A 16,470-nucleotide genomic window follows, 5' to 3' on the forward strand; every position below is an offset into this window, starting at 1 on the left:
GAGCATTCTCTAGTAGGAAGACCTTTTTAGAGTACAAAGGCCAGATCCTGCCCTCAAGGGGTTTACAGGCCATTAGGGAGATAAAACAACCTAGGGCAAGTGCTGGAGATGCAGCATCAGCCAACTGCTGAATACACTCAAAAAAATGAGAGCCCACTGGATTGTCTGGGAGCCTCCTAGGAAAGCTGAGTCCAAGCTGGGCTGGGAGGTTGGATAAGGCTGTGGCCGGGAGAAAAGGGAGAGGCAAGGCAGAGAGAGAAAGGAATGGCAGAAATGTGTAAGGAAGAGACCTATTTGAAGAAGAGGAGAGAAAAGAAATTAACACTTGGAAGATAGGTTTGGGTCTGTCTGTGGGAGCCTCGTTGCCCAGCTGCATTTATACCCCATCACTGGCACTGTGGGGAGTTTTGAGAGGAGAGTGAAATTAACAAAGTGGGGCATGGGAGGAGGGGGGGTCATGAAGGATGAGAGCAAGCAAGTCACCATGTAGTTACAACAGTGGCCCAAGGGTGCTCTCCAGGAACATGTGGGGCATGGGAGCCCAGGGCAGGAGGAGGGCTCCGCTTCCTCTGTGCTCTAAAAAGGGAAGGGATCAAGGGGTGAAGATTCCAGCCCCTTTGGAAGTGGAGGAGGCTAGGGAAGAGCTCTTACTACAGGGAATCCTGTTCTCATGGACCTGGAGGCCAGGGCCTTTGCTGAGAACATGGCAGGGGAGGGCAAGGGCTCACAGAGGGAAAATTCAAAAACTCCAACAACTACTGGGAAGGAAGTGGAGTGAGGAAGGGATGAAGAGAGTGAATTTGTGGGTTCGGTGGACAAGGTTTTCTGGCTCTTCCTAGCATCCCAGGAGTTCAGAAAGCACAGGGTAAAAGCCACTTACTTTCTCCCTCTACTTTGATGGAGGGTTGACTATGGGCTAGTGCTGGTCTAGGAACTGAGGGGAGATGAAGGGCCTCAGATACATGTTCTCTGTCTTCACCAAGCTTGTTGCAGAGTGAAGGTAAGAAACATAATACAATTGCAATAAAGAGAAATGGACATGGGTCCTGCCCATTTGAATCAGAGATTGTTAGAAATACAGACTTCTGCCAACTGATTAAATCCCACCACCACCACCACCGCCACCATTATCAGAAACTTTCTTGGCACAGGGCACAAGCTTGTGTCTTTTTTTCAAGGCTAGTTCTAACACACGGTGTAACATCCATGAGTCAGATTGTCTTGGTTTCTATCCCAACTTTACCACTTACTGACTCTATGTGTGTGTGACTGCTCTTGCCTCAGTTTGTTCATCTAAAAAATAGGATAATAGCAGTACCTACTTCGTAGGATTAAATGTGATCTTTCTTATAAAGTCCTAAGAAACAGCCTAACACAGCAGGTGCTTAGTAACTGTTGGCTGTTCGCTAAAGGGCATGACTAGGGTTGTGGTAGGGGAAAAACACGGTGCTGTGGGAATCCAGGTGGGGGATCTAACCTGGACCTGAGGGTCAGGGAAGGCTTTCTGGAAGAGGTGACTTCCAAGCTGAGACATGCAGGAGAATGAGGAGTGAACCAGGTCGCATGGGTGAAAGCGAGAGTTTAAGCAGAGAGAACAGCAGGTGCAAAGTTCCCAGACAAGAGATCCAAAACCATGGAAGGGACTGACTGTGGTTTGGTGGGGCTGGAATGCAGGGCGAGGCAGGGCTGTGGAGGGGCAGGAGATGTCCAGATCCTGGAAGTGTTTGAATTCTATCCTGAGAGCCACAGGAAGCTGCTGCAGGGCTTTAAGGAGAGAGGGATCTGATCTGTGATTCGAGGCATCCCTCTTGCTACGGTTTGAAGAGTCGGTTGAAGGCACAAGCCCAGAGCCAGAGGCGAGTGAGGAAGAGGTTGACATGATCCCAACAAGGGAGACAGAAGGTCTGAACTAGGAAAAGGGCTGTGGAGAGGGAGAAAGTGGGCAAACTGACAAGCACCTGGGTGGCCGATGGAAGTGGGGGGCTCAGGAAGATGAGCGTGCCAAGGGTGGCTCTGGACTTGGGTTTGAGCAACATTTCCACTGGATGGATGTTGAGAAAGGGAAGATGGAAATGGAGCACATTTGGGGAGAGAAATATAAATTCAGGTTTCAGTACATTGAGATTTTTAGTGCTTATGAGATGTCCCAGTGGAGATGTCTGTCCACTGGGCAACTGGACATCAGGCTTTGGTGCTCAGGACCTATGGTGGGTTGTAAATATGTTTTTGGAAACCATGAGCATTTAGAGCTGAGGCTGAGAATTGACATAATGTTCAGTGAAGACTAGGAGATGCAGGAGGGGGTTCATAGGCTCAAGGAAGCAGTAAAGGAATTGAGTATATGAAACTTCATACATATGTTGCAGTCAACATAGTCATATAATTAGTTAAGATGAAGTCATCCTGGAGGAGTGGCTCCCACTCCTGCTGCTTCTGACTCAATACTTAGGGGTCCCTGGTGAGTGCCCCCAACCCTGATCCCCATCTGCCTTCAGGAGGGGGTTGGCCCCATTCTCCTATTCTGGGATGAGAAAAAAGTCGGGGAGCCAGAGGCTCAGTGGGCATGGGGCAGTGACCTTGGCCTCTTGAGCACAGCTGGGAAGCCCTAGGAACACACAGACACGGCCCACTTAGGCCTCTATTAGCACGTCTGCTCTAGCACTGAAGCAGTGTTAGGACCACACAGATGCACGCACACAGCAGGCAATGACCCCTCCTGAGCCTGATCTACCCCTCTAACCTAGCGTATGCCTTTGTGCAGGTGAGAGCCCAGATTTGGAGTCTGAATGCCTAGCCTGGGCCCCTGGCTGGGTAATGTGATGGCTCTGAGCCTTAGCATTCTCATTTGAGAGATGAGATGGGGCAAGCTCCATCACCCACTGCTCTCACAGAGCGTATGTGTTAGATCTGAGCCCGGTGCCTGGGCCACTACACAGAGGCACCGGTGATAACTACCAAGTCTGGGCCTGCTTCCCAGGGGAAATTTTTTTGACAAGTATCTGTGCAGGGGGGCTAGACTGGCCCTTGAAAGTGCATACAGGGTCCATCCCAGAAGCCTTGTAGCTTTGATCCCCCGAATGAACAAAGTGTGGACATGCCAATACACATTACTGACATGTATGCCCACCTGACCTGCACCCACTCATGCCCACTCTGCAGGGCAGCGCTCGCCATTGAATGACTTCCAGGTGCTCCGGGGCACAGAGCTACAGCACCTGCTACATGCGGTGGTGCCTGGGCCTTGGCAGGAGGATGTGGCAGATGCTGAAGAGTGTGCTGGTCGCTGTGGGCCCTTAACGGACTGCTGGTGAGTGGCCACTGGGCCTAGATAAGACTGGGGGCAGGGGAGCCTGGGCCGTGGCGTTACCCTGTGCCTTCTTCTCTCCAGGGCCTTCCACTACAATGTGAGCAGCCATGGTTGCCAACTGCTGCCATGGACTCAACACTCGCCCCACTCAAGGCTGTGGCATTCTGGGCGCTGTGACCTCTTCCAGAAGAAAGGCGAGTGGGGGTGGAGAGGGGCAGGGTGGGAGACAGGGGACCTCAGCCCAAGTTGATCTTCTGTCTCTTGCTCCCAGACTACATACGGACCTGCATCATGAACAATGGGGTTGGGTACCGGGGCACCATGGCCACGACCGTGGGTGGCCTGTCCTGCCAGGCTTGGAGCCACAAGTTCCCGAATGATCACAAGTGAGACAAACACCTTCCCTCCGTCCCGGCCTGGGACCTTCCCCCAGCACACACTATAGTGATGCTCTGGGCCCTCAGGTACATGCCCACGCTCCGGAATGGCCTGGAAGAGAACTTCTGCCATAACCCTGATGGCGACCCCGGAGGTCCTTGGTGCCACACAACAGACCCTGCCGTGCGCTTCCAGAGCTGCGGCATCAAATCCTGCCGGGTGGGTAAGCGGCGCCGGGTCAAGCTGGGAGAGTGGAGGGACAAGCCCACGCCCATCCACGAACCCACTGGCTCTTTGTCTCCAGCCGCGTGTGTCTGGTGCAATGGCGAGGAATACCGCGGCGCGGTAGACCGCACCGAGTCAGGGCGCGAGTGCCAGCGCTGGGATCTTCAGCACCCGCACCAGCACCCCTTCGAGCCGGGCAAGTACGCGTAGGCGGTATCGGCGCCCTGGGGGCCGGGCTAGGGAAGGTCCAGGACTCCAGGGGCAGGGCTCCGTGTAGGGCAACTGGGCGGGGCCAGATAAGCCAGAGTCCCAGGGTCTTCTTCACGCCCCATTACCGCCCCCAGGTTCCTCGACCAAGGTCTGGACGACAACTATTGCCGGAGTCCTGACGGCTCCCAGCGGCCATGATGCTACACTACGGATCCGCAGATCGAGCGAGAGTTCTGTGACCTCCCCCGCTGCGGTAGGCGGCGGGGACCAGGCCTGGGAGGGTACCTGGGAACCTTGGGGAGGGGCGTGGCTTGGCCGGGAGGTAAGAGGGGCTGGGCGTGACCTGAGAGCATATCCCGTGGAGTACCGTACACCTGGGAAAGGCGGGTTTGGTCCCAGCCCCAGAGGGATCTCAGCTGTCGCTCGGGGCCCGACCTATCTCGGTCCATCTAAGGGTCCGAGGCACAGCCCCGCCAAGAGGCCACAAGTGTCAGCTGCTTCCGCGGGAAGGGTGAGGGCTACCGGGGCACAGCCAATACCACCACCGCGGGCGTACCTTGCCAGCGTTGGGACGCGCAAATCCCGCATCAGCACCGATTTACGCCAGAAAAATACGCGTGCAAGTGAGGTGGGCGGGGGGGCGGGCGTTGGGACGTGCTGCTGCGGGTGAGACGGGAGGAGGGTAGTCACGGGCTTAGGGCTGGAGGCTGGCGGGCTAGGGCTGAGTGCAGCGCCTGCTTAGAGACCTTCGGGAGAACTTCTGCCGGAACCTCGACGGCTCAGAGGCGCCCTGGTGCTTCACACTGCGGCCCGGCATGCGCGTGGGCTTTTGCTACCAGATCCGGCGTTGTACAGACGACGTGCGGCCCCAGGGTGAGGCCCAAGCTTGGGGGCTACAGAGCCGGGGCTGGAAGCCTGGAACCGGAGGGCCGGGGCGGGGTCTCGGCCTGATGGCTGCCCGCACCGGCCGCAGACTGCTACCACGGCGCGGGGGAGCAGTACCGCGGCACGGTCAGCAAGACCCGCAAGGGTGTCCAGTGCCAGCGCTGGTCCGCTGAGACGCCGCACAAGCCGCAGTGAGTCCCTGGTGCTCCCGGCCCCGCCAGGGCCCTAACCCTGGGGCGGCATGCTTTGGTGTCTGGGACCAGAGCCTGGAAATGGTTGAGACTACCCTGCCACGATTTTGCTCCCGCTCCCGCCTCGGTTCACGTTTACCTCCGAACCGCATGCACAACTGGAGGAGAACTTCTGCCAGACCCAGATGGGGATAGCCATGGGCCCTGGTGCTACACGATGGACCCAAGGACCCCATTCGACTACTGTGCCCTGCGACGCTGCGGTGAGCACTAGTGACGCTTGCCCCATGACCCTGCCTCAGCCCCCACCACCAAAGGCTGGCTCCCTTAACCCCAGTGAACTTTGTCTTTCAGCTGATGACCAGCCGCCATCAATCCTGGACCCCCCCAGGTTAGGAGTTGGGCCAGTTATGGGTCAGGCCCTTTAGCCCACGACATCCACACAGTCTGGGTTTCATCCAGCCCACCCCATCCTACAGACCAGGTGCAGTTTGAGAAGTGTGGCAAGAGGGTGGATCGGCTGGATCAGCGTCGTTCCAAGCTGCGCGTGGCTGGGGGCCATCCGGGCAACTCACCCTGGACAGTCAGCTTGGGGAATCGGTGAGGCACAACTGCCTGTCTCCCACAGAGAGGAGCTGAGGTTGTGTCCTCTGTGGTTATGCCACTGGGGGCTGGGAATCTATCCCTGCCCCCAGAGGTCCTAGCCAGAAGATGGCAGGTCTAGCATCTGTCCCAGGAGTCTGTTTCCTGTCCTAATTCCCCACTCCTCTAGGCAGGGCCAGCATTTCTGCGCGGGGTCTCTAGTGAAGGAGCAGTGGATACTGACTGCCCGGCAGTGCTTCTCCTCCTGGTGAGCCTCCCTTGTGTTTGGGGACCCAGTCTCATCCCACCTTCCCCTTTCCCCAGGCAAGCTAACAAGTGAGCCTTGGGGCAACGGACTGAGAGTCACAAATGACCTAGCAGAGCTTCTCTCCCAGCCATATGCCTCTCACGGGCTATGAGGTATGGTTGGGCACCCTGTTCCAGAACCCACAACATGGAGAGCCAGGCCTACAGCGGGTCCCAGTAGCCAAGATGCTGTGTGGGCCCTCAGGCTCCCAGCTTGTCCTGCTCAAGCTGGAGAGGTATGTGGACAACCTGGGAGGATGTGAGGTGGGGCTGAGCCTTGTGGCCTCAGACCCTGAGTGCCCCCATTCTTGTTAAAGATCTGTGACCCTGAACCAGCGTGTGGCCCTGATCTGCCTGCCGCCTGAATGGTATGTGGTGCCTCCAGGGACCAAGTGTGAGATTGCAGGCTGGGGTGAGACCAAAGGTAAGAGCATAGTGCACAGGACTGCTGGTGGCCAGGAGGCCCAGCCCTGGATCTTCCTCCAGGACCGTCTCCTTCTCCCCATTCCCCTCACTGCAGGTACGGGTAATGACACAGTCCTAAATGTGGCCTTGCTGAACGTCATCTCCAACCAGGAGTGTAACATCAAGCACCGAGGACATGTGCGGGAGAGCGAGATGTGCACTGAGGGACTGTTGGCCCCTGTGGGGCCCTGTGAGGTTGGTAGCAGGGCCCTGGGCCAGCCCTGGAAGGGTATGGGGGGCTAGAAATGAACTATTTTATCATGAAGCAGGCTAGTCATTGCTGTGGCCCGGGGCCCTCATCAGTTCTCCTACCTGCCAGGGTGACTACGGGGGCCCACTTGCCTGCTTTACCCACAACTGCTGGGTCCTGGAAGGAATTAGAATCCCCAACCGAGTATGCGCAAGGTCGCGCTGGCCAGCCGTCTTCACACGTGTCTCTGTGTTTGTGGACTGGATTCACAAGGTCATGAGACTGGGTTAGGCCCAGCCTTGACGCCATATGCTTTGGGGAGGACAAAACTTTTAAGTACAGTCAACGACAAGACTTGTACTCAAGGTTGAGATTTAATAAAATTAATATTTTTACTACTTCACCAAGGACTTTCTTAAACGAAAATGGTTTTTCCCCCTGCAAGTAAACAGTAATGAAGAAGAGAATTATTCCTAGTGCAGTTTGTTTTCATGGTCTTAATTTTTGCTAAGACTCCACTGTTTTTGCCTTATCAATACAAGTGCCAACACAGTGAAAAGGCAAATATCATCTTAGTATTACTCTGAAAATAGTTCTGAGCTAATGGCCTACTGAAAGGAAAAGAGTGGCTCCTGCTATTCTATTAGACTTATTACAATTATCTTAAGTATTCTTTCTACCCTCCTTTAATTGAATGGAAACAGGGATGGATTGGAAGAGCTGTTTTTCTCCTTTCTTTCCCCCGGCAATATTTACCATTTAATGCCACTTACTAACACTCAAAGAAACAAAACCAAACTTCTCAATTGACAGTGCAGTGACCCAACAAAGACACGGGTTCTTGAATTCAAAGTGGAGCAGGAGAGACGGTAAATACACATTTACTTTAATATATATATATTTATTATTTATGTGTTTAAAGCACAAATTAGTTTGGTAAAAAACATCTCATGTCTGTTTTATTTCCACATCCCTGAGACTGACAAGGGGATGCCTATCAATTAATTCATTTAGAGAGCCATACACCACAAGAAATAAATTACTTGTCCTCTGGAGCTTGTCACAGGGGGATTTTTAAAAAACCATTAAACAGAAAGACAACTGTGCATCTTAGAAAGATAAAAGGCCAATTCTTCCTCTCCGGCTGATAGGTTCTTAATAATAGTGATATCTACTAATAAGGTGTTTTACATAGTGTAAAGCATGTTCACATACAAATTACTTAGCCTCTTTGAGCCTCAGTTTTCTTATATGTAAAACTGGATTAATAGTACATTTTGTGTTTAAAAAGATAATGTATATGAAGTGTTTACCATATTTCTTGGCATCTAGTTCAGTTCTCAGTAACTGATGTGGTGGTGGTGGTGGTCATAGTAGCAGTAAGATCCGTAGTAATAGTAGCAGCAGTTGTTTTAGAAATTAGTAACTGAGGCCTGGCAAAGTTAAAGGCTCTTTCATTAACACCCAGAGGGGAAGAAATGAAGCTGGTCTTCAGAGGCAGGCTATTTTCACTCTGTGTCCCAAATTTTCCCCCCTAGACCATTTTTATACTTCTGGGGCCTCAGAAAATATTCTCAGCTATTCTGTTAGATTGATCTCCTACCATCTGAGAGGGGGCTTCCTTCAAACAACCAAATTTCCAGGTATTTCTAAACTGCCCTTCCCCTACACCATTCTTTGATTCAGTATTTCAAGACCCCTAAGAGAAATGGTACATTTACATGTAAGCACAGGATAGTGAAGTATTTACAAAAGTGCTTTGGAGCCAGCAAATATGAATCAGAATCCAGCTTTCCTTTCCTACATACATGACATTGGGCAGCTAATTTCTAAGATTTTACTTCTTTATCTATGAAAGTGGAGTACTAGTACTTGCTCTGTGCAACTGTGATGGTTGTTACATGAGGTAGCATCTAGAAGCAGCTTGCACATTGCGAGACACCCAGTGGAAGGTCAATGAATGACTATTTGAGGACTAACTATTACAGAAATGTTTACTCTTCTGAGTCCTGATTTCTAGTCTCCTGGACTAAATAGGTTCACTGTTTTCCTCCCGGTTCAGTTTCCAGACACATCACAGAATTATAAGAATATTAAAAACTCAGGCTTATACCTACACAGGATTTTCTATAACCCTCTTTCTGCTTTGAGCTCCTAAAGCTATTTCATAGAAAAATGACCTTATTTTTAAATAGAGGGGGCAGTTGAAAATCAGTGAACGGGCCTACCCCCTAATGATTTTTTTCTCAGACATAATTATAATAATTAGCATTATAAAGTGCTAATTATCTTTGGACACAGAGGACCTGCACACCAGAGACAGAGGTCCGCATTAAGTAAAGTGGATTTCACTTTCTTCAGTTGTGAGATTTCTCTTTTTTCTTCTTTGTAATGATGCAAAGATATATCTTCCACCAAGCCTCATTTAAAAGCTTTTTCCAGTTAAGGAAACTATCTCTTGGCCATCCACAGCCAGACTGCATATTGAGATTATGGATATTCAAAGAAATTGTCTTTCCTTTGTATATTGTCATAACTTTTTGTGAAATGTTTGTTTTATAGTTCCAGGCCAGCACCTAGAACCTGGCTAGAATAAAAAACTGCAGAAATCATGAGTTTCTTGTTTGGATGAAAGAGCACACCTATTAACAAATGATAGACGGCTATCCTACTGTGAGTCCTGAAAACTGGTGGTGTGATTGTTGAATGGGTTAGGGGTATAGCAGAGAAACTCAGTGTGGGCTACATACAATTTCAGCTTGAATCACACTTAACAGATCCTCTGTTCCAACCATTTAAATTTACAAAGAAGAAACTAAGGCACAGAACTACTTGAGAAGAGAAGCAGAATTGAAAACTAGAGCTCCTGATTGTTCTCAAAATAATTTTTATCATACTGCATCGGGTTCTAAGTGAGAGGGCTTCTTATTTAGTAATGCCAAGGTCATGTGTTAACATGTAAAAAAAATTAGACGAGGAATGGGGCATTGGTGTAAGATTATACAGAGTGTAAAGTTGGGCTTTCTCTTATCATCTGTTGTCAACAACAGGATGATTGTTACTGTTACCCACTCCTTACCGTCATTCACACAGAGACATTGGATATTGAGGAGAGACTTTAAAACAGAATATTAGTAATGCAGAGCTATAAAGAGCCACGATCATATTAATACAATCCTCCATACACATAGTGACCTGTCTGCAGCTCCAGCCTAGAGAAACCCAGTTATTCACTTGTAGTGGGCAGCCCCATTATCAGAAAGCGCTATTCAATTGGAAATGCTCATCTGTGTTAGGTCAAAAACGACTTCCTCTAAATATCCATTCTGTGTATTGAAGTATAAATGAGTCCCACTTAAGAAAAAACAAAACAAACCAACTTCCAATGATTTAAAAATACTAACGTGACCCTCTTACGTTTACCTAAAGCTAGTGTTTCTCAAACATCAGCTGTATCAGAATCCCTGAAGGACTTGTTAAAACAAATTGCTGGTCTCTACTCTGAGCTTCTGATTCATTAAATGTGGGATGGTACCTGAGAATCTGCATTTCTAACACGTTCCCAGGTGACCCTGATGCTGTTGCTCTGAGAACCACTTTGAGATCCACATCTCTAAGCTCATCAGTCTGTCCGTTACACCTTACAAGACATACTTTCCTAATCTGACACCCTTCTATTTGTCTTTTTTTGGAATGCTTTAGAAATTTAGCAGTTATCTTTTTTATGTATTTTACATTTGTTACAGCTTTCCTTGGTGGACAGATATGAGTTTTCTACTTGAAAATAAACACGTTTTTCTTTAAAATATCATTAAATAAGAGTGTAATTAGTGATATAAAGCAAGATGACTAAAAAGAATCTCTCATTATTATGTTTGCACAGCCTGTATACAAATTATTTGAACTAGAAAGGATTTGCTAAGTAAATTATTTCTATTTCCCTCACTTAATAGTGAATATTATGGTGATTAGGGGAAAAAATAAGCTTTCTTTTTTCTTTTGAGATGGAGTCTCACTCTGTCACCCAGGCTAGAGTGCAGTGGCGCGATGTCGGCTCACTCTGTCACCCAGGCTGGAGTGCAGTGGCGCCATCTCGGATCACTAAGCCATCTCGGCCTCCCCAGCTCAAGCGATTCTACTGCCTCAGCCTCCCAAGTAGCTGGAATTACAGGTGTCCGCCACCATGCCCAGCTAATTTTTGTATTTTTAGTAGAGATCACCATGTTGGCCAGGCTGGTCTCGAACTCCCGACCTCAAGTGATCCGCCTGTCTTGGCCTCCCAATGTGCTGCGATTACAGGCATGAGCCACCACGCGCAGCTAAAAGAAGCTTTTCTGATAGTAACTTTGTTTTCCCATTCTGGAGTTTATGGCAGTATGAAAAAGACTGAATTTATAAGCAGAAGATCTGTTTTTGAAATCCGGGGACCTGTATTTCACAATGGCTTTGATGTGTTTTGATTGTGCACCTTTAGACAACTTATCAGTTTCCTCATTTTTATACGGCAATAAAATAGTAACAGCTACCCATTAAATTCTGTACAGAAGCTAGGGACAGACACAATATGACTTGCATATCTATAAAGGCTTTGTAAATGTGGGTATTATATCTAATGTTTATGCACATGCTGTTTGATTATTTTCATTTGGAATTCCACTCCATTAAAGGAAAAGTAACATACGAATTCAGATTCTTGTAAGTCTTCAGGCATGAGGCCTCCATTGACTAAGTACATTGCCTACATAATTTCTCCTAACCCAAATGAATCTCCAGTTAAACCAAGCTGGTGGTTATGTACTGTCTCCAGAGGATGCCAAGCATAAAGTCCTTGAGTATATTCATCTTGGATCCTCTGATTGGACAACTGCGGTATTGAGACTTCAAGTTCCCCCTTGAAGGCCCCAGACGGTACCTGTAATTTTACTCAAGTTTTAAATGTATACTCTTTGTTAAGAAAGAGTGACAATGATTTGATTTATTTTCCGTGACTGGGGTTAGGGATGGGGGAGACTCTAGGAATGTGACTTACCAGTGAGGTTCTAGTTTTATAAATCATAGGACAAGTTTTGATAGGCAAATGTTGGACTATAGGGCTGAGGTTGTTTTCCACCACAACATATAGACTTCTACTAGCCCTTGAAGGAAAAAACACGAGAAAATCAGTTGGGTCAGCTGAGTATTCCTTTATGAGTATGGAACAGACTTACATAACAATTCTGCAGGTAATGGCTCTGGAAAGGTCAACCACTTAGTTTTGGACAACTCTTTTCTATTCTGTATAACCACTTTTTCACCAAAATGATACTAAATAAATATGCTATAGAAAGCTATATTTTGACATGACTGTTTTAGGCAAAGATACACTCACCAACTTACTCCACAAGAGTTTCTAATCAGAGACTATCATATGGATCTATTTGAATTGCTCCCATGCTTGGCTGAGCCCAAAATAATTTACTGTGCGTATGTACACCAAGTGAGAAGGTTGAGGAGGTGTCACTTGTACATCTCTTTATTCTTTTTTTTTTGTATGTGTGTGTTATTTTCATGTGTTTTGAAAGGCTCTCTTGCTTAGCTTTTATTTTGCCATGAAAGATTTTTTTCTGTGCTATAACTGTATTTTTAAGTCTGGTTTGAGTTCAAGAAATCCACAAATTCACAAAAGATTAAGAATAATTTGTGAACAAAATGATGCAGAAATAAAAAATGCATTTTCCAAATAACTCCCTTGCAGTCCTTCTCCCCCAACTACCACTTTCTATTAAGTTTCTTCTTCCTACTCTATGAAGTGCGATGAGCTTTCAATTCATTGTATTTTAAGTATAAGCTATACTTACTAACCTTCACGTTATTCTTTGTTACTTAAATAAGCTTGCTTTCATAGTTCAATTGACGTACTGTTTAACTGATATTTTTAATTGATATATTTTGATATATATTGATAATTGATAGCTATATAATTCATTTGAGATATTTTGGGTATGGAGGGTTGGAAGGAATCCTTTCATAATTTTTCTACTTAAAAGAAATCTTTTTTCATTTAACAGCTTTTCCCATGGGGATAGAGTTTTCATGAATAAATCAAAGTCATTAAATGAGGTATATGGTACATCTTTTAAGAGTCACAGAAAGAAGCAACAACAATTTACCCAGGCAGAGGGTATAAGTTTAGACCTTGGTTGCCTGATTTGTGGGACAAGTTCTTTAATTTTTTTTCTTTATATTTTGACTTTTTTTTGGACTCTCTCCTCCCCTTCCAGGCTCCAGGTCAAATACTTGACACCTGAATGATGTTCAATTATTTAAAAGATGGATTGGCCAGCTCAGCTCCTGTCTCAGACACACTGTCTTTAAATGTATTTTCAACATGTCTTCAGACAGTTATTTTTCCTCTGTTCAATTTTGTTCATCTTCTTACTTAACCGTTCAAGTGCTCCTATTTCCTTTTTAAATGTAGTATTGAGAAGTGCAAACATTATTGGAAAAGAGAGTCTCACTAGCATAATTGTGCATTATCTTCCTCTTATATCGCCGGCCTCCCTGCACCCCCATGCCCACCTCCTCCTCGCGCCTCCATGCCGCCTCCCACTGCTCCAGCTCCTTGCAGCTGCGAGTCCAGTCACTGGTCACCTTTCGTATCTCCTCACTCAGAGCCTGGCTGGCCAAACCTGCCTGGTCCAGCTGTTCTCAGAGCATGGCATTCACCTGGGCCAGGCTGGCACTCCTGAATGGGGCACAGGGGATCAGTAGGCGCTCGCCCAGGGGGCCATGCTGCGAGCCCTGGCCCTCCCTGCTGCTCCTCCTCCAGCCAGATGAGGGCACTCTCCAGGTCTTGGCTGTGCTCTGCGTCCTGGGTGGCAGAGAGGTTAAAGCATCAGGCTGGGCAGGTGGAGGGCAGGGCCTGCCTCTGCCCCACCCTGGCACCCACCCTCAGCTGCTGCTGCTCCAGCTCTCCGGATCTCTCCAACAGCTGCTCCAGCTCCGAGAACCTCTTCTTGTACTGGAGAATCTGGGGATTGGGAGCTGATGGTGAGCCCCAGGGGTGGGGGCAGGGCAAAGTGAACACGTGGGAGGGAAAGAGCAGGAATGGGTGGCCCTGACCTTGCCCTGCAGCCGCTGCACAAGCTGGGCCTGCCGCTGCTGGCCCTCCAGGTAGGCCTGCAGCTTGCGCCACTAGGAGGCCTGCTCCTCCTGCAGCTGCCTCCGCAACTCCACGCTCTGGAGTACCAGCCCCCTGGGCTCTTGCATCTCCAGCTCACCAGATTCCAGCCACAGAGCCTGCTCCAGCTGCAGGGAAGGGCCCTGGGTGAGAGTCCTGGGCCTCCTGGGAAGGCAGGCTCAGGCCTCTGTAGGGGGTGGCAGGCTGGGCCCAGACCCACAATGCCTTGTAGGCTGATAGCCTGGCGCCCTGGGGAGCAGCACATGTGGGCAAGCCCAGGGGCAGTGCACGTGTGCATGGGGTGATGCAGCCATGCACGAGCACGCAGATGGGGCATGCATGGACACATGCAGGTGAGCCCACAAACCCAAACCATGCAAGCAAAGCTCAAAGGTGCACCTGGGGTCTACGTCAGGGGCCTCAGTACACCATGTGCCTCTCCTCCAGAACACTTAGCCCTGTCGTGGTTTCTGTTTATTACATTGATGCCTGTGTCTTCCCACCATGCCCCCACCCCAGTGTGAGCTCAGAAAGCCTCGATTTTTTGTTCCTCGTTGTATCTTAGTGCTATAATGGTGGCTGTGGAATGGCATGGCTCACGCTCGGTAAATATTTCTTGTGATGGTGAATTAATGGCATGAGCTCATGGGAATACATTCAAACAGAGGTGTCAATCCGCCTATGCATATCTGAGCTTAAAAATATGCACACACATAACACATACAGGCAACCTCAAACATCCCCAGGGGTACACGAAGGAACCCCCTCATATACACAGCATTAAGATTTGTAAGAGGTGCACACAGATGTTGCCCTATACGGTGCCTGCATATTAATGCCCACTTCTGGCTGGGTGCAGTGGCTCATGCCTGTAATCCCAGCACTTTGGGAGGTCAAGGCGGGTGGATCACTTGAAGTCAGGGGTTCGAGACCAGCCTGGCCAACATGATGAAATCCCGTCTCTACTAAAAATCGAAAAATTAGCCGGGTGTGGTGGCATGCACCTGTAATCCCAGTTACTCAGGAGGCTGAGGCAGGAGAATCACTTGAACCTGGGAGGCAGAGGTTGAAGTGAGCCGAGATCGCACCACTGCACTCCACCCTGGGCGACAGAGCAAGACTCCATCTTTTATTTATTTATTTATTTATTTATTTATTTATTTATGTATGTATGTATGTATTCATTTATTTGTCTCATGGGCTGAGCGAGGGGACCCCGGCTGGTGGAGGGACAGCTGCGTCCGGGCAGACCCCGGCCTCTTGTCGTGCCCCCGGCCCGCGACAACCCGGGCAGGATGGGCAGCAGGACACGGCGGGGCATCCGCGGAGCCCGTCGGGAACGCTCTCTTGGCCTCCGGTGCCGGGCAGCGGTGGGTGCGGCACCCACAGTGCCCACAGCGCCCCCAGCCCTGGGACGTGGCTCCAGCCCGCCCCCAGGCAGGCGGCCTCCTTCACCGGGAGCACGTCGGCTGGGCAACACAGAGAAACTTCAATTCTTAAAAAAACAAGACAGCCACCACAACAACAAAAACAAGAACAGAAATTAGCCGGCTGTGGTGACTCATGCCTCTGCTACTCCAGAGGCTGAGGTGGGAGGATTGATTCAACCAAGATGCCACCAGATACAGTGAGACTGTCTCTCAGAGAATAAGTCAAACAAACAAAAAAAGAGGCTGTGTAAGAGGTGACTCTGGGGACAGTGGAAAAACACTAAGGTTTTCAAGTGGTGTTAAAAGCCACTAGGCCTTGGGGACCATTGAGCAATCTACAAAGCACGGAAGCCTAGATCCCTGAGCTCTGCCTGCCAAGTACCACCACAGCTAACATGGGAGACCTCCCCCACAGAGACTGAAATTTGCCTCCCGAGGAAACAAGTGACTACAGACATCTGTCCCAGGACAGTAAACAAGAAAACAAGGTCTCACAAAAACAAAAACAGCTGACCACAGCATACAATCACTGAGACCGAGCCTGCGACTATAGGCGAAAAAAAAAAATGCTGTCCATTATTCATACCATGAAAGACCAGGGGAAAGTGCGAACGCAGTCCCCTACTACTGTTGTGGGAATCAGGAGAACAGAGAGACCAATGGGTGGAACAGGAGGATTTATTGACTGCACTGAGGCCCAGCAGATGAAAATCCAAAGGCTGAGCCCCGAACAAAGACAGGGCTTAACTTTATACACACTTCTGAAAGGGGGTTGGCTAGTTTGAATGGCGCGGCGGGAATTTGATGGCATGAAACTCGGGGGCAGGCAAGAGGGCTTATAGAAGCAGAACAAAGGCAGCTAATCAAACTGTCACAGGTCTTGCAATGCAAGTATAGCTGGTGACCTTGCAGCTGCACTGAAGGGAAATCAAGAACTTAACAAAACTTGAATAATTAGAAATGGGAAGGGGGAAAGAGAAGGTAGTAAAGGCATTTGTTGTTTTTTCCTCTTATCTTTGCTAGGGGCTTACTGTGTTGAGAGAGTCTCCGGAACTCACTCCTCGGGGCTCTGACTTTTCAGATCGTGTTACCGAGGATCTGCTAGGGCTCTATCTATGGCAGGTCTTGGAGTCAGCCAAGTA

The 16,470-nt window shown here is 48.9% G+C and overlaps 1 pseudogene across 1 annotated transcript; it reads left to right on the plus strand.

The window, feature by feature from the left end:
* Positions 1-4,204: 4,204 nt before the first annotated feature.
* LOC102724562 (macrophage stimulating 1 pseudogene) lies at positions 4,205-7,201 on the plus strand (annotated as a pseudogene). The gene is made up of 11 exons (NR_135824.1): positions 4,205-4,373; positions 4,575-4,743; positions 4,863-4,993; positions 5,094-5,459; positions 5,551-5,587; positions 5,676-5,796; positions 5,969-6,046; positions 6,174-6,320; positions 6,402-6,508; positions 6,605-6,744; positions 6,869-7,201. The product of NR_135824.1 is annotated as a macrophage stimulating 1 pseudogene (transcript).
* The last annotated feature ends 9,269 nt before the right edge of the window (positions 7,202-16,470 follow it).

This window comes from Homo sapiens, assembly GCF_000001405.40.
Source record: "Homo sapiens chromosome 1 unlocalized genomic scaffold, GRCh38.p14 Primary Assembly HSCHR1_CTG8_UNLOCALIZED".
Taxonomy (NCBI): Eukaryota; Metazoa; Chordata; class Mammalia; order Primates; family Hominidae; genus Homo; species Homo sapiens.